This window comes from Homo sapiens, chromosome 1 (assembly GCF_000001405.40).
Source record: "Homo sapiens chromosome 1, GRCh38.p14 Primary Assembly".
Classification (NCBI taxonomy): domain Eukaryota; kingdom Metazoa; phylum Chordata; class Mammalia; order Primates; family Hominidae; genus Homo; species Homo sapiens.
The window spans coordinates 90,003,335-90,025,568 of record NC_000001.11 but is presented as its reverse complement, the minus strand read 5'-3'; the positions used below and the strand labels follow the sequence as shown (position 1 = coordinate 90,025,568).

At 34.6% G+C, this 22,234-nt stretch overlaps 1 protein-coding gene across 7 annotated transcripts in view; it reads right to left on the bottom strand.

The window, feature by feature from the left end:
* ZNF326 (zinc finger protein 326) overlaps positions 1-22,234 on the bottom strand; it is a 40,424-nt gene that overhangs the window by 9,965 nt on the left and 8,225 nt on the right. Inside the window, exons 3-11 of one of the 7 annotated variants that reach the window (NM_182976.4) lie at positions 20,531-20,566; positions 20,325-20,436; positions 17,819-18,224; positions 15,283-15,481; positions 12,332-12,443; positions 8,105-8,252; positions 6,785-6,884; positions 4,647-4,777; positions 3,224-3,319 (exon numbers count right to left, since the gene is read on the bottom strand). In NM_182976.4, coding sequence (NP_892021.1) covers positions 3,224-3,319; positions 4,647-4,777; positions 6,785-6,884; positions 8,105-8,252; positions 12,332-12,443; positions 15,283-15,481; positions 17,819-18,224; positions 20,325-20,436; positions 20,531-20,566 — 1,340 coding nt within the window. Of the gene's footprint in view, positions 1-3,223; positions 3,320-4,646; positions 4,778-6,784; positions 6,885-8,104; positions 8,253-12,331; positions 12,444-15,282; positions 15,482-17,818; positions 18,225-19,123; positions 20,437-20,476; positions 20,567-22,234 lie in introns of those variants that run through there. The other 6 variants (NM_001320185.2, XM_047418427.1, NM_181781.4 and 3 more) reach the window with 6 other exon arrangements.

Below are 22,234 nucleotides of genomic sequence, written 5' to 3'. Positions count from 1 at the left end.
AGTCTGTACTGGAACTCTTGCTGAAAACACAAATTCCTGGATCAATCTCAGACTGCCTGAATCAAAATTTCCAGGGGAGACGCTCAGTAACTTGCATATTTAAGAAGCATTTCGGGCAAAAATTAGCTGGGTGTGGCCTAGCTACTCAGGAGGCTGAGCCAGGAGAATCGTTTGAACCCGGGAGGTGGAGTATGCAGTAAGCCCAGATCACACCACTGCACTCCAGCCTGGGCAACAGAGTGAGACTCTGTCTCAAAATAAGAGAAGCATTTTTGGAGATATTTATCAGTGAAGTTTGGGAAACCCTAATTCAGAAAGCCTAAAAAAGGGCTTAGGCAGCTTTTTGTTTATCTTAGCCTCACGGGTGATTGAACACATTCCTCTGGTTGAGAACTACTAGTTTAAAGAGTGAATAATAGAGAGGAAGCAAAGAGCACGTGCAAAGTAAACTACCATTTCAAGTATGCTGGGAAGAGACAAGATGATAAAATAGGGTGGGCCAAAGTCTAGGAAAAGTTAAGTCATTTTTGGTTTAGGGAACTCATAAGCATGTCTATTTGAGGAAGATTAGAAAAAAAAAAAAAAAAACAGGAAAAAAATCAGATGCAAGTAAGGGAAGAAATAATGATGGAATTAGAACAAAGATGAAAGGCAAAGAAGATTTTTCCTCACAAATAATAAAGGTGAAGGAAAGATATATCTAAGGCAGAAATGAGAACACTTACTGAATTTACATCTAATGGTCTCAATCTCCCTAATGCAGGAGAAGAAATAAGCATATGGGAAGTGGCTGAGTGTGGTGGTGTGTGCCTGTAATCCCAGCTACTAGAGAGGCCGAGGTGGGAGAATGGCTTTAAACCCAGGAGTTCAAGGCTGCAGTGAGCTATTATCGCACCACTGAACTCTGGCCTGGGCAACACAAAAAGATTCTGTCTTAAAATATATATATATAAGAAAAAGAATATGGGAAGCAAAGAGAGCAAGAATGAAATCTGAGACATGAGGTTATTAAAGGTTGGAAGAGTCACTACAGGAAACACATTACACTGGTAGTTAATAAGTAAAATTATTGTGAATTGAGTGAAAATCTGGGAAACACAGGACTGGCACGCACAATTCCACATTTTTTAGCAAGACAAACATTAAAGCTAACCGTAGAGCTAGAACTAATAAGGAATTTGAGAGCGGCAACATTCCCTACTGAAAGGGGTGATTATCAATGCCCAGAGCAGGGAGTGAAGGCAGAACAAGATGATACAGTTGGAGAATTAAGAGAAATTGATGTACTGATTATCTCAATGAGGACAAAGTTGTTTTGTTTTGTTTTTTTGTCTTCTCTGCCGTGTCTCTAAGGGACAAAGATTTAAAAGGGCATTTTATCAGACTGAGAGCACTTGACAGTGGAGGGACAGTGGAGGAGTTTTAAGCCATGACCAGAGCTGACCATGAGCAGAAGATGTTCTGGGGAATGACAACAGGGAACACAGCAGACAGGCATGCTGAATAAAGGGCCATCATTGAGTAATGTGACCCCAGTGCTTCTTGAATTTTCACATGCATACAAATCAACAGGAATCTTGTTAAAATGAAGATTCTTATTCAGTAGGCCTGGGTATGACCTGAAATTCTGCATTTCTAATGAGCTCCCAAGTGATGCCAATACTGCTGATCCACAGATCACATTCTGAGTAACAAAGTTCTAGAGGAGTTCTCAGTTCAGGTGTGTTCTCTACAACATGTGCATGAGCAGGATACTCCCACCAGTGACATCTCTCATTCCATGAAGTGACTCGATTGTGTAACTTGAAAACACTATATAGAAATTCTAATTTTGCATTCTTCCCTCATTAAAAATTATCTTCATACATCAATAGAAACCACTTTCTCAGAAGTTTGTGACAATGCAAGAATAAAAATCTAATTTTTCCTTCTTTAGCTATGATGCTTCTTTTTGATGCCATACCTCTCATAAAATTGGATTTCAATTGAGGGCTGCATTCATTTTTTTAAAGTAGTGTCAAGAATGTAGTAAATGGCGACAAATATTAACGAATATTAGATTAACAAATTAGAAAATAGGCCCCTAAGGAACGAGCTGCAAGAACTAATATTATTTAGCTTGGAAAGGACTGGTAGAGGGACAATTTAATGGTCACTAAATATGTATCAGGTTTTCTTCACAGAGTAGCTGTTAAGAGTCACAATAGACAAAATAAACAAAACTTCTTTAATCTATACTTACTAATGTAAATAACACACTGTTGTAAATCCTCAACACAACAGCTCTCTTCAGTGTAGAATAATGATTTTAAGGTAGGTATTATTTTGTAAAGACTGAAAAATAACTTCTATCAGACCAGTCTGGGTATTATAAGAGAAGTAAAAACACAACAAAACCAAAAGACTAACCTCTAAAATTTATTCCCAAATCACAGTAAGCTCTTATTTGTATAGTAAGTGTTTATCATAAATTTTATGTAAAGATGGATTCAAGCCATAACATATGGCAAAAACCCTGAGGAGTAAAGAGTATATATCCAATTGTTCACATCTGAGTTTCATAATATTAGAAGCAAACCTCTCTTCTCCCGCCCGCCAAATTCCATGAGATTCCTTCTTCTGGAGAAACATCTGACCTTCCTGCTACCCTCCAACTTTTATGCAGGGAAAAGGAATGATTTATGCAATTAGTATGCTTGGAAGAAAAAACTAGGTGGACACAACACAGTCCCTTGTGGGTCCCCTCTTTTGGGTCTTCCTAGTGACAGAAAAGGTACATCCTAGTCTGTTCTATGCCATGTGGTAAACTAGGAGAAGCCTGTTGCTGTCCATCTGGGCTGGTAACAGAAATTGGGAGGATCTAAGTCTACCTAATTCAGAAATGAAATATTAAAAGTCCACAGCAACTACATAGCTAAGATATATTCTCCAAGTCAATTTTTTCTTAAATCAAGAATAAAGCTGACATTTTGATTTTCTATCTAATGCTTGTGTATTTCTCATTGATTCAGAGCTACAAAGGTGATAAGAGAGGAATCACTGCTCCCATCTTGACCAACCCAACAATTAGGAAAAAAGATGTTTTACCTATATGCAAGATACTGAGTAAAATTCTTCTTAATATGTTATACTATATTCAAGTATCACAAAAGGTTACTATGTCACCAGTTAATTATTGCAATACTACAATATTATTGAAAAGGTTTTTGCCCTAAAATCTTACCTTAACAAAACGTTCATATCGCGCCTTCACTATTGGATTATTTAAAATGCTTGTAGCAGTCAAGACACTCTCTCTTTTTATTTGTTCCTTATAAGCCTATAAAAAACAGAACACACTGAGGGTTCTTGAAAACCATGCCATGAAAAATATTTCCATAATTAAAACAGCATTTCATGCTCAAACCCTTAGATTTAAATGACTTATCTTCTTACAAACTATAGAGCAATAGCAACTACTATAACCACAGTCTAAATCTATGAATTCAAACAATGAAGATTCAAGCCAATCAGCTTCAAAAGAAAACACTCAGTCCCACAAATCTACAAGTCTAGATTCTACTAGATAGCTGCCTTCTCTTCTTTCCACTCCACATCTGCCTCCCCAGCCCCCAACTATTAATTTTCACGCTGTCAAAAAATAAAGAATAATTTTTCATACTACAAGAGTATCTAGTCTTCCTCTAGGCTGTAGTTATTTCAAGACTATTATACAGAGGAAGAAAGTTACCAGTATAGAAAATTGCCAAAATGGTGTCAAGGGAATATCAAGAGAAGAAAAAGACATAGATTAAGAAAAGATTGTATGTGTTCAAAAATGCTTGAAGAAATCTGAATTAAATGAGGTTCACTTCAATACAAAATAAAAGTTTAACACTTGGGTATGTTCTATTTAAAACTTAAGGCTTTAATATCTGAATCTTTAAATATGCTTTTCAAACAAACTGATTTCCCACAATATAAACATTTGTATTGTCTGAAGTAAATCTGACTAAATAAAACCAGCCAAGCCAATAGAGAAGCAGAAATATACTGACCAAAAAGAAGACAGTAAATTTTTCAGGGATATTCTACTAAAAAATGTAAGAATAGATGCTAGCTGATAATGCTGTTTTTAAATGTATTTTTCCCAACCATCAGAAAAATGTATCAGTAATAATCAAATCTTTACTTTCTTTTTTATTCTAAAACACAGACACACACAACACACACACACTCTCTCACAAAACTGTTTTGTACTGACTTTTTAAAAAGTTAACAGTTCAACAAAAGCTACGATTTCCTGAATGCTTACCATTACCAGGCACTATTTTAAATGCCTTATACGTTTTAATTAATTTAATTCTTAAAAAAAATCAGATAAGAGTAGAATGATCATCTACCCTCATTTTACAGATAAGGAAACTTAGACAAAGAAAGGTTAACTTGCTTGCGTAACACATGTTATAGATTGAACAACTCAGGGAGTCTTACTTTAGAGCTCAGTCTTAACCACTATATACTGCCTCTCTGAGTATACTTACAGTTATTTCCATATGAGATTGATAAATTGATAAAATTGCAGATAGGTGTGAAGCTATGGCCAAAGAACAATAAAAGATTGATGGATAATCTGGCAACTTTATTAAGACAGATGAAAATTTTACCTGCTTCCCTTTGATATGATCAGGAGATTTTAAGTGCTGCTGAACTGAACTATGTAAAGCAGGGATATAAACACTGCAAGCGCTGCAATGAACTGTCTCTACCTTCATCATGTGATCATCTACAGTAACACCTACAAAAGACATCCAATTATTAAAGAAATAATTCATATGTTATTTCTGACCAATGAAGTTTTTACTACTTAATTTCCATGATTATTTATACCCCTTCTTCCAAAATAAAGATCAGAGTGCATAGGTTTATGCTGAGTATTTCTACCACATCTCATAAATCTACATATGTAGATTTACTATATTGCTAACTAAAATTATTAAGGTACAATTACATTATAGTTCCTAATCATGTTAAACAACCATGCTCTGAGGCCTGTACATTCATCCTCCCAAAACTATAATATAAAGGAAAACAAATATTGATTTTGTAGTAAAATAAGAATTTCCATGATTATGAATGTGGATGAGTAAGAAAAGGGGAAAGGATGTCAAAACTGGATTCATAAGGAACAAAGGTATTCTGGATCTTGCAAATGGTGACCGGGGTTTATTACAGGTGAAGGTATAAACATATGCAAGGGAAGGGTGTAAGAGAATGGTACTTTCTGCAAGTTAGTACGACTGGAACAGAGAAGAAGAGACTAAAGATGAAAATAGAAAAAAAGAAGGGCCTAAATAATAAAGAGCTGTATGTGCCACGCCTAGGAATTTGAACTTGATCCTGGAGAGGATGAAGAGCCACTGAAAGTTCCTGAAATAATGAGATCATGTAATAAAATCGTAAGATAAGAAAAACTGGAAGTAATGAAACTACTTCGGAAATACTACAATTGTCAAGACAACAGAAAAGGATTTGAACAAATACAGTATTTAAAGGAGAGGTAAAGAAACAGATTTGATAAATGTTTAAAAGAGAATTGATGTTATCAACTGATCAGTACTATAGATACAGTAAGGAAAAAGTACCTAGTATATAACTCTCTACTTCTGGCTTTGGTAGATGGTGCAGGCCCTTCTCAAGATACGTGAAGGAAAAAACTGTGAGGTTTTGTTTTGCTTTCTTTGTAAGGTAGGATATGCTCAAGGAGACGATAACTTTTTTGGATATGTTGATTTTGTGTGACTGCTGTAAAGAGATGTCAGTAGGCAGTTAGATGTGTAAGACTAGAGTTCAGAAGAAAGATCTGTGCTAGAAACATAGATGTATAAGCAATGAACATCTAGATACTAACTTAAGCTCTGTAAGTGAATTTATTAGGAAGGAATATAAAAAGAGATGGTAATGGGGCTAATGACAAGGTACTGAGAAACATCAAATTCTAAAAGAGTGGCAGAGAAACCATAAAGACTTAAAAAATGACAAAAGGATAAAGAAAACATTAGGCCAGTGAAGTGCCACAGAAACAAAGGAAGAAAAATGATTCATGAATCATATAGTTAGTAAAAAATGTTACGGAAGATAATGATTCCAAAGAACCTAGAGAAGTTGGTGTTGGTAACTTCTGTCACAGCAGTTTCAGTAGACTAACAGTAGTAGAAAGTTGTTTAATTAGCTTAATGTAATACATGGGAGATGAAGAAGCAGAGAATAGTGTGGGTTATGCTTAAAGAAGCATGGTTATTTAAAAAGAAAAAGAAGACAGGTTATTTAGGAGAACTAGTGTCTGTTTTTCTTTCCTTTTCTTTTATTCCTTTTGTTGGCTGTTTTTTGTTTGGTTAGTTCTTGTTTTTGTTCTTGTTTTGTTTTGTTTTTTTTAAGTAAAAGCATATTTACAGACTCCAGAGATGGAATCAAAAGAGAAGGAAAGACTAAAAAACAGAAGATTTCATAACTTGAATTTTGGGAGAAGGAATAACAGAAACAGAGAACAGAGAGAAGTATCTTTCATCTAGAGGAAAAGGTAACTTTTCCTCTCAAACTGAAGTGAAGAAAGTAATGGCAGGTAATGATAAATTTGTAAGCATTAGAACAGGAAGACAAAGAAGTTCATTTCTGGTAACTCACTCAGAGCTACTGTATATATGACTGTACTATATCACTCTAGTGGCTATCATTTACATTTAAACAGGTTATGATATATAAAAATACATGTAGAATTTTAAAATAATTTGTTTTAAATACTTACCTTCCATAACATCTTTTTCAATTATTTTAACTACTTCTGTTTGATTATTTGTCTGTTGCTTACGAATAGATGTTTTCTTGAATTTATTCACCATACACTCCTAGAAAACAAAATAGAAAGAATCTAAATAGCTTTCAATGAGCACTCAAGTATAATGCTTAGCACTATGTTCATTCTATGGAAGATACAGTATCTGCTACATAAGAATTAACATCTTTTCTCAAGGAGTTTATAATTTAATTGAAAAGATAATCATAAAATATTAGGAACCTACAAAAATTATTCATTTTTCAAAGTATATTTTAAGCATATAGAGAAAGGGATCAAAGGGAGCTAGAATATTTAAGAGGTCTTCCAGAGTAGGTGGGTATTTAAGTTATAAAGGACACACAGAAACCCATTAAGGAAATAAATTACAGAAGATTGTTAATTAAGGGTCACAGTTCTATGAGAATTACAGTGGTCTGAAAGGTCACTTTTTTTTTTTTTTTTTGAGATGGAGTCTCGCTCTGTCACCCAGGCTGGAGTCCAGTGGTGCGATCTCTGCTCACTGCAACCTCTGCCTCCCGGGTTTAAGCAATTCTCCTGCCTCAGCCTCCCAAGTAGCTGGGATTACAGGCACGCGCCACCACGCCTGGCTAATTTTTATATTTTTAGTAAAGACGGGGTTTCACCATGTTGCTCAGGCTGGTCTTGAACCCCTGACCTCGTGATCCACCCGCTTCAGCCTCCCAAAGTGCTGTGATTACAGGCGTGAGCCACTGCGCCCGGCCTGATCATTGTATTTTTAACTTTCTAATAATTCCACCTCTTCTGTCCAAATTAATTGTACGTACAATCAACAGTCCAGCTCAAGCCCCTTCTTTAAGCATTCCTTAACATTCCCAACTGTCTTTCCCTTTGCTAAACTCCTACATTATTTCTGAATTCCTGGCATTGTCACTTAACAGTCATTTAACTGCTCTGAGCATAATCTTTCATGATAAAAATGAATTGTTACAGGGCTCAACTGAAATAACGAATGAATGTAACCAGCACAACTCCAGTTAATGGATGATAGCTGACTCCACATCAATACAGTTGTTAAAGGACACCTCCCGCAGAAACTGTGAAAAATGTAATAATTTCTGAAATAACAAATACAAATTCTATTATAGAGGAATTCACAAGTAATTCTGAGTTAATTTTAAAACAACTCTTTCTTTAAATAGTAAATTAAAATTTTAGAAACATAAATGTGAGAGATGGGGAGAGTGAAAAATGAAATCATAAGAAATTCATATCAATAAAATGCTTCTCACTTCAAAAACAGCTACTCACATGCAAAAACTCCATAACTACTTTATCAAATTTAGTTTGTTTCTGTATATGATCTAATGTTTCCTGATGTGAAGAACTTTCCAGATGCAGTTCAATATCTTTTTCTTCAAATGTTCGAAATTTACAAAATGAACATGTAAATGCCATTCTGTAAGAGAAAAAAAAGTTTTCCTTTAAATATTACTTTATTCAACTATAAAGAGTTCATAAGAATATAACATTGAAACTAATTTTACCAACATAAATGATTTCCTTTCTTCCTCTTTATGACTGAATTAAACTTAGCTTAAATCCAAAAAAAACAGTATTTAAGTACATATTTGGACAGTACCCATATACCACTTTGCATTTCTAGCCCACCTTGGAGCTTCCGGGTAGGAAAAATTGAATCAGGGGATCTATAAGTTATCCACTTCAAGCCTGGACCAATTAAAAAGGCAAAACAAACCTCAAGAAGTATCAAGTTCCAAAGTTCTGCAACTTATTTTACATGTTGTTCCATCCTCAAGCTTCTAAACCAATGGTAGTATCAATAAAGCAAGGTGGCACACCACCAGACAATCATAATTCACTCCTGTGGAATTCTTGGGTGATAAAAGTCTTGCCTTCTAAAGACTACTTCACTTAGGGATAACTAATAGGCCTGGACTGGACAAATGCATACATCTGTAAGCTCAAGAGCCACTCCATAATGAACAGTCCCACCTAATTGCTTCTTTTTTTCTTTTTCTTTTTCTTTTTTTTTTTTGAGATGGAGCCTCGCTCTGCTGCCCAGGCTGGAGTGCAGTGGTGCGATCTCAGCTCACTGCAACCTCCACCTCCCCAGTTCAAGCAATTCTCCCACATCAGCCTCCCAAGTACCTGGGACTACAGGCATGCGCCACCACACCTGGCTAATTTTTATATTTTTAGTAGAGACAGGGTTTTTGCCACCTTGGCCAGGCTGGTCTTGAACTCCTGACCTCAGGTGATCTGCCTGCCTCGGCCTCCCAAAGTGCTGGGATTACAAGTGTGAGCCACCGTGACCAGAATAACTGTTTCTATTTTACATTATTTTCTTTTCCTTGAATTATGCCAGCAGTCACATAACTGGTTTCTGTCTCCAGTCTCCATTTTCCAATTAATTCTTTGCAATGCTATTAGATTTATTTTCCTGGTTGAGAGTATGAGCTCTGGAGCCAACTGCTGAGTTCATATCCTAATTCCATTTTGTGATCTTGGGCAAGTTACTTGACTTGGTTTTCTGGGCCTTGGTTTTCTTACATTGAGATGAGAACGCTCACAGAGGTGTCTGAGGATTTTTAAAAATTAATGCAGACAAAGCCCTTAGAACATTTCCTAAAACACAATAATTATTCAATTAATTATTGCTACTTCCTATAGGAGGTAAGAGCACATTACTGCTCAAAGGGCTTCATTAGCTCCATAAGCTCCAAAAACAAAGACAAAAATGTTTTCAGCTGCCATCCAGGAAATTTCCTAATCTCTTCTTTTTGGCTTTACTCACCAATACCTTTAACATTATCTGGCACAGCATTTCTTCATTAAATGTTTAAATTAGATTATACCTTTCACCCATTAGAGTCACTTCAATCTACACTGCTTTCAATTTTCTAAATAACAATAACACATTCCTGTTTGCTTTGATGGCAAGCCATGGCCTCTACCTGGGCTGCCTCTCACAACTCCTCCTGTAACCCTACCATTCCCAGATCAATTCAAATACTACTTCCATCATTGCAGCCTCCCCTGATTTCCATGCACCCTTATTTATTTATTTTTTGAGACAGAGTCTTGCTCTGTTGCCCAGGCTATGGAGTGCAGTGGCGCGATCTCAACTCACTGCAACCTCCACCTCCCAAGCTCAAGCTATCCTCCTACCTCAGCCTCCCAAGTGGCTGGGACCACAGGCACGTGCCACCACACCTGGCTAATTTTTGTATTTTTTGTAGAAATGAGGTTTCACCATGTTGCCCAAGCTGGTTTTGAACTCCTAGGCTCAAGCAATCCGCCTGCCTTGGCCTCCCAAGGTACTGGAATTACAGGCATGAGCTACCATGCTTGGTCTCCTATACCCTTATTTAGAAGTTATATCTCATGAGACTACATTGTACTCCTGGTATCCTTCACCATACACTATTATTTATGTACATCTCTCACACATCCATCTCTTTCTCCCTAGGTTCCCTTAAGGGTAGATATAAACCTTTCCATGTGCTTTATTATGTGGGAAGCATTCAAATATCCAAGGGAAGGAACCTATCACAAGAATAGTGATTTACTCAATCTCGAATCCTCATAACTCAAAGTAAAACTGCTCTGATAAATGAAAATAACTTAGACTACTTTAAATAAATTATATCCTAAAATGATAATTTATGAGTTAACATTCTTTTGGTTATATCATCAGATTTATATTTAGAGTTACAGAGAAAATAGCTAAATGAAAGTTCAATTCTTTCATTTTCTCTATATCACAATTTTATATATTATATTAACATGAACATAATCCATATCTAAAATTTTTCATGAGAAAAGTACTCATAGGGCAATTAAATTTAAAAAATTGCATCTTATAATGTAAAATGATTTTTACACTCCAAGACGCTGATAATTTAAAGTCATTTCTACACCAAAATATTAACTATGCCTGTTACTTCTACCAAAAGAAGGAATCACAAGAGATAATGAATGGGACAGAGAACTCACAAGGACTAAAAATAGCAGTAGTTCTTGAAACTAGAACTACTCTTCTTTTTATGGATTGTTTTGTTTTGTTTAGAGATGAGGTCTTGCCACGTTGCCCAGGCTGGCCTCAAAATTCTGGGCTCAAGGCTTTAAGAAAAATTTAGACATTTTTAAAAAACTGCTAAATTGCTAATAGTTATAATATACTGTCACCAACAAATTTTAAGCGTCCTTTGACCATTCCTTAATTAGCAAATCAAATTTCTCCTTAGTAATAAAATGGCATACTATTATTTAAATTTTTAGTTTAATGAAATTACTGTTAAGTTTAAACAATTTCCTTAAAATTATTACTAGCTGTTTTTTGTTTCCTCATCATATTAAACAGCTTAGTTTTCTTACTTTTTAAAATAATTTGGGTGATGTTTTAATCTAACTTGGACATTAATCATTTCTCATGTTTATATTTTCCAAGTCTGTTTGCACTCCTTTCAAATTTTAAGTTTTTATTTAGCCAAATCTGCTCATAATTTCCTTTGTAATTTATTCTATAACTTTTAAGCCTGGGAAAAAAATCTCCTTGCAGAACATTTTGTTTTTCTGTAATTTCATTTTTTTTTTACTACATTCATTCCAGGTGTCATATGAGGAGGCTCTAAACTGATTTTTGTTGTTATTTCATTGTTCAACCAATTCCCCTCTTTTTTTTTTTGAGACAGAGTCTCGCTCTGTTGCCCAGGCTGGAGTGCAGTGGCTCAATCTCATCTCACTGCAAGCTCCGACTCCCGGGTTCACGCCATCGTCCCGCCTCAGCCTCCCGAGTAGCTGGGACTACAGGCACCCACCACACCTGGCTAATTTTTTTTTGTATTTTTTTAGTAGAGACGGGGTTTCACCGTGTTAGCCAGGATGGTCTTGATCTCCTGACCTCGTGATCTGCCCGCCTCGGCCTCCCAAAGTGCTGGGATTACAGGCATGAGCCACTGTGCCTAGCCCAATTCCCCTCTTATTTCTAATATCCTCTTTATTAAATATTACATTCTTCCTTACAGTCTGTTCACAGGCTAATCTGGTATAATAATTAGCTTTGTGTATTACCACATATTTTTAACTATTATAGCTTTTTAATGATTGATTATCTATAAAAGCCAGTACCTACTCATTTACTCTTCTTCAGAATTTCCTTTGGGATCTGGATTGGAAAGAACTTACATATTTGTAATATTTAATTCCTGCCCATGAAAATCACTATGACTCCATACAGTCAAATCTCAATGACAAGTGTTTCTTTTTAAGAATACTGTTATTTCTGAATATTTGATATCTTTTGGATTGCCAATATGAATAGAATGCCTTTTTTCTTATGTTTTCTAAGTAGTGATTACATATAAATATCAAAAACCAAAAGCATTCCTCTGTATCTTTGAACAAGTCTTTTCATTTGAATCTTAAGAACTTTTTAATATTACAATTGATGTGTTGGCTTTTTCTAGGAAATCATTTTTTAATGAACCTAATTTTCTGACTCTAAGTACAAACCTGTATCCATCTCCGTATTTCTCACTGTTTTTTTCTCTTCTGCGCCTTTGTTTCTCTCGCCGAGCCTCAATTCGCCGCTTTTCTTCCTCTTCATTTTTAGGATCAGTTTTTGCTAGGATATTACACAAAAAAGTAAAAGCTAAAATTCATTTTTCCATTCTCTCTTTCCAATCATCAGTTCGTAAAGTACATACTTATGAGGTATACTTAGTGATTGTAATCTAAAATTGAACTCACCAAAAAAATCGGAGTTTGAGACTATCCAGTATTTCTGAAACTTCACTAAATGAACTTCATTCATTTGAATACCATCATCATGAATTCTGTCATATCTGCTTGTCATCTATGTGATTATTTGCTACATATTTTTCTTTAAATGTGCTCATTTGTCCTATCCTTATTCTAAGCAATAATATCCTTATCACCTAAAATCATCTTGGGCATCACATACTTTGGGAAAAACACTAAAGTAACCTGACCGAGCATGAAAATGGAAGTCCAGTAAACACTGCAGAGCCCTGGATGCAAGAACTCATGTTCATATTGTAGGAGCTCTCAGAAAGTTTCTTAAAATTTGTAACCTCCAAAATAAAAGCAAATTTGTTCTCTTTTTTAAAAAATATTCTCTATTGTGATAAAATACACAAAACATAAGATTTACTAGTTTAACCATTTTAAAATGTGCAATTCAATGGCATTAAGTACATTCACAAAGTTACGCAACCATCTCCACTATCTAGTTACAGAACTGTTCATCATCCCATAAAGCAGTCACTCCCCATTTCAACCCTACCCTAAGGCCCTGGTAACCACTAATCTGCTTTCTGATCTACGGATTTGCCTATTCTAAGTATTTCATATACCTAGAATCATCCTGTCTGTTGCCTTTTTGGTCTGACTTTTATTTAGCATGTTTTCACAGTTCACCCATGTTGTACCATGTATTAGTAAGTACTTCCTTTTTTATGGTTTAATAATATTCCATTGTATGAATAACCCACATTTTTTAAACCATTCTTCTGTTGATGTATATTTCAATTGTTTCTACCTTTTGGCAATTATGAATAATGCTACTATAAACATTCATATATAAATTTTTGTTTGGACCAGGCACAGTGGCTCATGCCTGTAATCTTAGCACTTTGGAAGGCTGAGGCGGATGGATCACTTGAGGCCAGGGGTTCAAGACAGCCTGGCCAACATGGCGAAACCATCTCTACTCAAGATACAACAATTAGCTGGGCGTGGTGGTGCACATCTGTAGTCCCAGCTACTCAGGAGGCTGAGGAACGAGAATCGCTTGAACCCAGGGGCAGAGGTTGCAGTGAGCCAAGACTGCACCACTGCACTCCAGCCTGGGCAACAGAGTAAGATCCTGTCTCAAAAATAAAAATAAATAAATAAATAAATTTTTGTTGGAATACTACTTTAAATTCTTTGGAATAGAAGAATACCTAGAAGTGGAATTGCTGGATCATATGGACAGTCTATGTTTAATTGTTTCAGGAAGCACCAATCTGCTTCCCACAGTGGCTTCACTGCTTTACATTCCCATCAGTAATGTGTGAGGGTTTCAATTTCTCCATATCCTTGTCAACATTTGTTATTTTCCTTTTTTTATTATGACCATCCAAGTGGGTATGGAGTGGTAACTCACTGTGAGCAGGTTCTTTCTTATAATACATTTAACTTTATACTTAAAAAAAAAAAAAAAAAAAAAACTTAACTATTTGCCCTTAAATTTTTCCTTTTATGCACTGCTTATCCTTTTGGATGGCCTTTGAAAAATCTACTTATTTATATATTACCTCAAATAAGTAATTTAATCTTCCTTTCATATGCTAAAACTATGACATGTTGTACTTCTAGCCAAGTGACAGAATAGGGTTCCTTTCCTACTAATTTTCTATAAAGTCACATAGTCTATACTATAGCATAGCAAGACCTTGTATTGAGGAAAATTCAGCAATCATCTTTTTAAATGCCCATTTTACACCTGACAGAGAAGGCATAATTTAAAGAATTTTAGTTTCATTCTTAGCTACACAACACTTTTCTCAAGTTTTGTTATATAAAAAGGGGGTATGGGGGAGGGATACATATATATCTGCTTTAAGGGCAAATCAGTTTCTTTATCAAACTTTTGCAATATTTAACCATACGTGCAAAATATATCTTTGAAATAGGTCCCAAGAGAATCAACTGAATTTTCTATTATAGTAATGTCTAATAAAATGTCAAATTTGATACATAACAGTCTATCAATTGACACACTGTTAAAGGTATCCCCACAACACATACTCTGCTTAGTATCAGGTTTCCAGAACTCCAGAAATTCCAGAATATTGTTTCTTATTAAACAATAAGGCCTGATGAGAAAGTAATTTAAGTACACCTTTTAAACCTTTTTCAAATTTTATATTATAGAAAATATATTTTGAGGAAAGAATCTAACATTGCAATTTCAGTTTTTTCAAATATTACATATTAAAATGTCTATAATGTCATAATTAGGGAAAAAGTTATTTTAAAATAAAAGGGAAAAATGAATACAAAGCAAATTTCTGTTACAATCATATGGAGGTTTAAGAACAGGACTTCTAGAGCATGACTTGCTCTGGAATAAATACTGGCATTACCATTCACTGGTTGTTTGACTTAGGCAGCAAATTATTTATCTATTCTGTGCCTGTTTTCTCAGCTGTAGAGGGTTTGATACACAACCACAAGGATTCAGGAAAAAGGAATGGACCAGGTTATGTACATTTTAAAAGTATCTTTGGGTATTCATGACCAATTATTAACTGCAATAGGGGATTTACAGATCTAACTTCTACAATCATAATTGTTATGTAGTTTCTGTATATAAACATGAAAAAATTACCAAAAAGTATGGAATTTTAAAAAATAAAAAGTATCCTGAATCATAGCAATTATGTTTTCTTACTTACTGGGTGATTTGCTGAGGCTTATCTTCTCCATAGGTTTTGCTAGTTTGGGTTTCTTGATAAAGGTTCCACTGGGCTTATTAAATGGCTGCATCATTTTTCTCTTTATTCCTCTTGCAGCAGCAACTGTCACATTGGTGGATTTGTTTTGATAGTCAACAACAATTCCGGGTCTATGAATGCTTCCAAAATCACCCATATGCTGTAAATTTGTGAAATCAATAAATATTAGCATATTGTCCAAGAAAAAATATGAATTCATATAAAATTTTCATGTTAACTATCTACTAATTTTCACCTGAAAATTCCCTGGAATGTAACTAAATTTTACATGTCCATTCTGAAAAAACACATTGAAAAACTCTGTAAATTATTACATAAACTCAAATCCATTGAATTAGTATTTTTATTTCCAGTAGAACAAATAATGAATATTTGCTAACTATGTTTTTACTTTTACATTTCAAAATTACTTGAGATTATAGACAACATATGTGCCTGTCCAAATGTTACCACTTGTACAACTCTCTGACAACTCCTCTTCAGAGTTCCTAATTGATGTTTTCCCATGAAAAGACCCTAAAAGAAATCTTTATTTTACTAAAACTAAGATACACAAAGAAGACCATATTTGTAGTTTGAAGTAAAAAAGATCCAGAAATCATTTAGTATTCTCCCTGTTGAAAAAGGGAATGAGAAGGCGAGATGGAACATTAGTATGAAATAGGAGAGTTAAAGCATAACCATGCATCAACTTCCAAGACACACTTCAGATAAAGAATTGCATCTGACGTTCCATTCACATTCTTACCTAGAGAAACATTTTCTGACCCAGAAGCCCAAGAAACAAAAGTTTACAGATGAAGAGTCATGCAACCAAACGACTCTTTGTGTCCCTTCCTCTTCTCTTGTCATTATCCAAATCTACTACACCAAGAGGCCACATGTCCACAGAAATTTATTCTGCTAATCTTACTTTTAGAAGATAAAGATGGAGGAGTAATCTGAAGAGAAGGACCCAAGGGGAATTGTACAAGTGAAGATTTAAAATGTAGGTCCTATTGGCTCATCTACTTCACTAACAGGAGGAAAGAAAGAAAAGTCCATTCAGACTAGAATGGTAAATACAAAGTACAGGAATACTTGTTTATTATGAAAACGAAATTTACTTTTGAAGCCTCATTAAGAAAACACACTTTGTCTAAAATAATATACAGCATGGAAAATATTAAGTGTTTTCCAAATTTTCAAACTAGAATGGATTTTCAATTCAAAACCCAAAGCCTATCATCCCAACTATTTTCAATTAACCTATGATCATGAAGTATAGTGGAACTGTAATGTATCAGTTGCTTACATTTGTATACTATGCTCAGGAATGCCTATCTAACCTAGTTGTGTTTCCAGGTAATTTAAAAAGTCACAACAGGAAAATCTTCCTTAATTACGCATTAAAGGTGCAATGCATTTTTACATAAGTAAAGAGTAACTGTTAAAAATGCAAAATTTCTACACAAGTATAACAAGCTACACTGACATATCAAAAGCTAATAACCAGTCAAAAACGTGTACCCTACTACCTTTTTTACTAGAAATACTTTCCTCTGCAAATAAAATATTAAGAGCAGCTGACTTAAAAGGATTCTTACATTATAACAAAAATACAATACTCTTTAAATGATCAAACTATATAATAACCCCACAATCTGCATACACTTACTAGGTAAATTTTCATGTCAATCAAGTGACCTAAGAACATAAAGCATAATGTTTACACTATGTACCCTAAACTTAAACAACTGTGGACTAGTATATTTACTCATTTAAGCAATAATTTACAAAATATTACTTCCTAAGAAGAAACCATAAACATATCTGTACAGGTGGAAATTATTTCTCAAGAGTAAAACTAGTAACACGAGGGAAAATAAAACAACCAGCAACTGGACATATTGTAAGCGTGAGTTAGCAAAATTACACTGACCACAAATCATTGTACAATCTATTATACACATCAACTTCTTCACCACATAAACATGGCTAAGCTATCCTGATCTATCATCAACTTTTAGTCTCCTGTGTTTAATGTGAAACATGGAGCTTTGAAGAAATTCTACTTGCTAGAGTTTAGCCACAAAGTATAAACATTTTATCATACATTGCACCTTTAACCTACTCAAAAACTCAAAAAGGGTTCAGTGACCTTTCACAATAATCCACAAACTATTCCACCAGCAAAACTGCTAGTGTTTACAAGGAAAATGCAACTCCTTTTAACCCCTTTTAGACCAAACCAGTAGCCTCACCTTTTTAATAAAGGGAGATTTGGCACAACTTTATGATCATCTCAAACTGCCACTTATTTTCTGAGGTGCTAGAAAAACTTTTACAGTCAACCTAAAAATTATGTTTATGACTCAGCTTTTGCTTCAAAATACACCGGGATGAACAGTGTTTATTCTAGTTGAAAACGATGGTCTTGAAAGGGTTTAAAAGAGTGACTAGTGAAAAGAATCTGAAAAGATTCTGTTGTACTTACTCCTCGGCCTCGGCCTCTGCCTGTTGATGGTCCTCCAAAAGCATCATAGTTTCTGCTTCCAAACGTACTTTCAGGATAAGCAGGCGTTCCTCTCCCCCGAGAGCCTACAGGTGCAGGCTTCATATGGGGTGAAGAAAAACTGCTGTAGGAAGAGTAATTCTCTCTTCCTCTGTCCTCCATAAACCCAGGCCTCAATTTTGAACGGGAGTAAGGTGCTTCCCAGCTAGACCCGCCCTGGTTTCTACCTCCGAAAGAGTCAAGGCTATTCCGGTAGGAGCTCTCAAATCGACCACCATAACTACCTCCGAAGCGGCTTTGTTCGGGTTCATTAAAACCATAGCCAGATCTGTACAGATCTCGCCCACCCAGAGAAGACCTGGAGTCGTAAGACTCATAAGGTCCAAACCTGGAAAAGTTGCACAGTGAGGGAAAAAACAAAAGTAAGCTTACTAATGTTAGACAATTCAAAAGACAAATTATCAGATGACATTTATCAACTAAAATTCATTTATACCATACTGGTTTGCACAGTTCTACTTTTGTTCACATTTGATTAGGGCTGGGCAGTTCAACGTGAGACCAGATAGAAAGCTATCTGAGTCAGATTATAAATATGAATTGAGTTTAGTAAAACTTAGCTTTAAAATCTGCTTCTTAGCAGCTTTTCTATTTTATGAAGAAGAAAAGATTTGTCTGTCATTATTTAAGCCCAGCCCTAGTCTTGGAAAAGGTCATTTGCTAAAGTTCACAAACTATTCAAACTTTTTTGAATCTATCCCTAATATTAAAAATTACAAAACATTTACAATATTTTGGCTTTCAATAGGGACACAAATTGAAGTCTACTTAGATGTAGGTTATTTGTGACACAGAGAGATCCTTTTGCACTCCCAATAATCTATATCACAAACTGCTTCATTGTGTCTGTAGGAGTCAAAATTTGGGGAATTATCTCTGGTTATAAAAATTTAACAATCTGCCAAACTTCAGCCAAGGTCAATTAATCAATCCTCAATCACTTTTTACTTGTAGACTAGAAAATCTAACAAATCTAGAAGGATAAACAGATAAAACATAAAAGATCACCAACATATACCCTCTGCATATGAATTTTCAAGGCAGATGAGAAAGAATACATCTTATAATATATTCAATTATTTGCAAAATTATTTCCTTCAGGAAATTATCACATAAAACTACCCTAAAAAAGGGAGCACACAGTCTCCTCGAGGTTTTAAGAGAGTTAACAGAAGAAATAAATCATCTTCCTTCTCACAAACCCAAAGCATGGATTACAAAAGTTGCTTGATATCTTACAACACAATTTTATAAAGGCCCACAATTACACATGAGATAAAACAATAACATCTACGGATATAGCTTATGCACATTACATTCACAATATAAAAGGGCAATAACTGACATATTAAAACATTAAGTGTTACATTACTTCAATTATTTACAGATCACTAAATAGATTTACTTCTGAATCCTAGTAACCATATAAAAATTATTCCTATTTCCAACTACATTTTTCAAAACATCTATCACATAAGCAAAATAGTTGCAACTGTTCACTTTCTTAATTTTTCTTTACTATAAACCATAGTGGTACACTGGAAGCAGAAAGAAGGAAAGTAAGCATCATTCAGTCCATCATTAAGGAATCCGGATCCTTCAATTTATGCAGAAGGATGACTGTTTCACATGTCTACTAACTAGTTTTACTTATATTCAGCAGGAACCTTTGTGCCTCAAAAAGTAGACACCCCTTCTCCTGAAATATGGTCAACCTTAAAGCTTGTAGTTGTTTAAGTAGGTTTAAGCTTTATACAGTAGTAACAGGAAAATATAAATACAATCTCGACTAGTCAAAGGTATAGTATTCATGGCTTTAATACAATGCTTCTAGCCTAGAGCACAAGTGCTTTGGTGTAAGTAGTACCTGTCAATAAATAACCTGAACATAATTTTAAAAATATTTTTATTATTGCAATATGCTCTTCCTTTAAAATTAGAATTAAAGGAATATGTCCTGAATGTTTCTTGGAAAGTAAATGTTAGACTGGTTCAGTAAAATCCATTCTAGTTAGACTGCTTTGCTAATTTACATAGCACCCCACATTAGAAAAGATTTTTTTTAATTATTAAGAAAAAGCTTCATAAATAATATTTTCAATAACATTTTTATATCATTTTTCAGGATACTTTGATTGACAAGAAGTTAAAAGTAAAAGAATTTTTTAAAAGTTCACTGCTAAAAAGTGTATCTTACTCTATTATATTGACATGATATAGTTATCTGGTGTTTTCCTAAAATAACGTCTGCCAGTAATACTGATTTAAATTTTATACCCATTAATTAACACCTTTAAATATTTAAGGTGATGATTCAATAGCAAACAGTGAAGTTCAAGTATCATAACATGCCTAAAGAGTACTTAAAATAATATATCCAAAATCTTATAGTTGTCTAATTATTTGGCCAAATGATTAAGCAATTTACCTGCTACCCCCACCACCACCACTGTGATTGTCCATGCCATATGACTGGTTTAGGTAGGAATCCATGGATCTCTGACCCCCATAGGATCCATGGCCATAGTCACGATCCATCCCTATAAGAGTTTAAAAAGAAAAAAGTTATATGATGCTCACCTTTACTGGCACTCAAAAGAAGAATTTTTAGATAAATATCCTTGAATGTCAGACCTCCATAAGATCCAGGGCCATAATCACGATCCATTCCTAAAAGAGAGTCAATAAGAAATTGTCAGTAAAATACACCATTCTCTTCAGGGATCTTTGCACAAAACACAAGATATTCCTATCTATCACCTGAGATAATTTACCATTAACATTTAAACTAAATTCACACTAAATGCTGAAGGGAAAAACACAAAGATGAGAAGCTACTAAATCAAATTTGCTAAAAAAAAAAAAAAAAAAAAAGCCCTGATATTTCAAAGAAAAACATATTTTCAACTAAAAAGTTCTATATTAGAATTATTTTTATTTTCTTTTGAGACTGGGTTATGAGACTGGCTAATTTTTGTATTTTTGATAGAGATGGGCTTTCACCGTGTTGCCCAGGCTGGTCTCGAACTCCTGGGCTCAAGCAATCCACCTGCCTTGGCCTCCCAAAGTGCTGGGATTACAGGCATGAGTCACTGCACCTGGCCACAGAATTATTTTCAATTTAACCAATATTTGTTGGACTAGGGGACTACTATAAGGCCTTGTATTAAGTACTATAGCATATATAATTAATGATACATAATTCCTATTCTTAAAAGAAGTCAGCATTTAATAAAGTCAAAGGGGAAATTTTTGTCCTATATGACAGCAGTAGACTATACTTGTTTTCTGCATCTAACTGCTCTTTAAATGTCTGAAAACTCAGAAGCAGCCACATTTCCAATTAGCCTTGTTCACAGTAATTGAAACAGATATTTTTAAAAAGTAAAATCACAGATTGAGACCAATCTATGGCACTGTGCCTATAAATTATGACTCAACAAATGAATGCAAATTCTAGCAATGTGAACACTAAAAAAAAAAAACTAATACAATAAGCATATTAAGTCTATTTTATTACACTGCAATTCTGCCTATATACCAACCTCTGATATGAAAAATAAAACAAAAGAGGTAACAAAATCAATTTAGGATGACTACAAAAATCAGAAAGTAAAACAAACATTTAGAATTTGTTTTCTATAAAGTCCTTTAAAAATCCCTCATTACTCTCCCCAAATGTCATACACAAATAAATACAATAGTACACACAGAGTAAATATCTTAATTTTATATTTTTTAAAACATTAAATTTTATATAATCATATAATATCTCTAGTCCCAACAATAATGACAACAATAACAACTTTATAAAAATAGTACTCAAAGTCATCCAACTTTAAACCTGGTAGCAACCTGAATGTTCAAAATCAATCCTCTCATTTTATAGATCTGGGGAACTGACGTCCAAAGAGATGAAATGATTTTCCCAAAATTCTATACATATCCTCTTGTCTAGTCTCATGCTATTGCTTCTACATGAAACATTTTCCTCTGCTACCCTAAATATCAGCTTATTGAAACTTTCTAATCTTTTAAAGTCCATTTCAAATCCTAATGCATTCAAGAAAACTTTTACTGATACTCTCTCAGCTGAGTGTCATCCTTCTTCTGAATATTTACAAAAGCCTGTAACTCTCACGTGGTGCTTGTGATACTCTGCCTTACTCTGCCATTTGTGGCCTCATCTTAAATTTACTAGTCCTGTGGTAAAGGTCCAAATTTTATCTTAGAACAGCAGTTGCTGGGCGCGGTGGCTCACGCCTGTAATCCCAGCACTTTGGGAGGTCGAGGCAGGTAGATCACGAGGTCAGGAGATCAAGACCATCCTGGCTAACA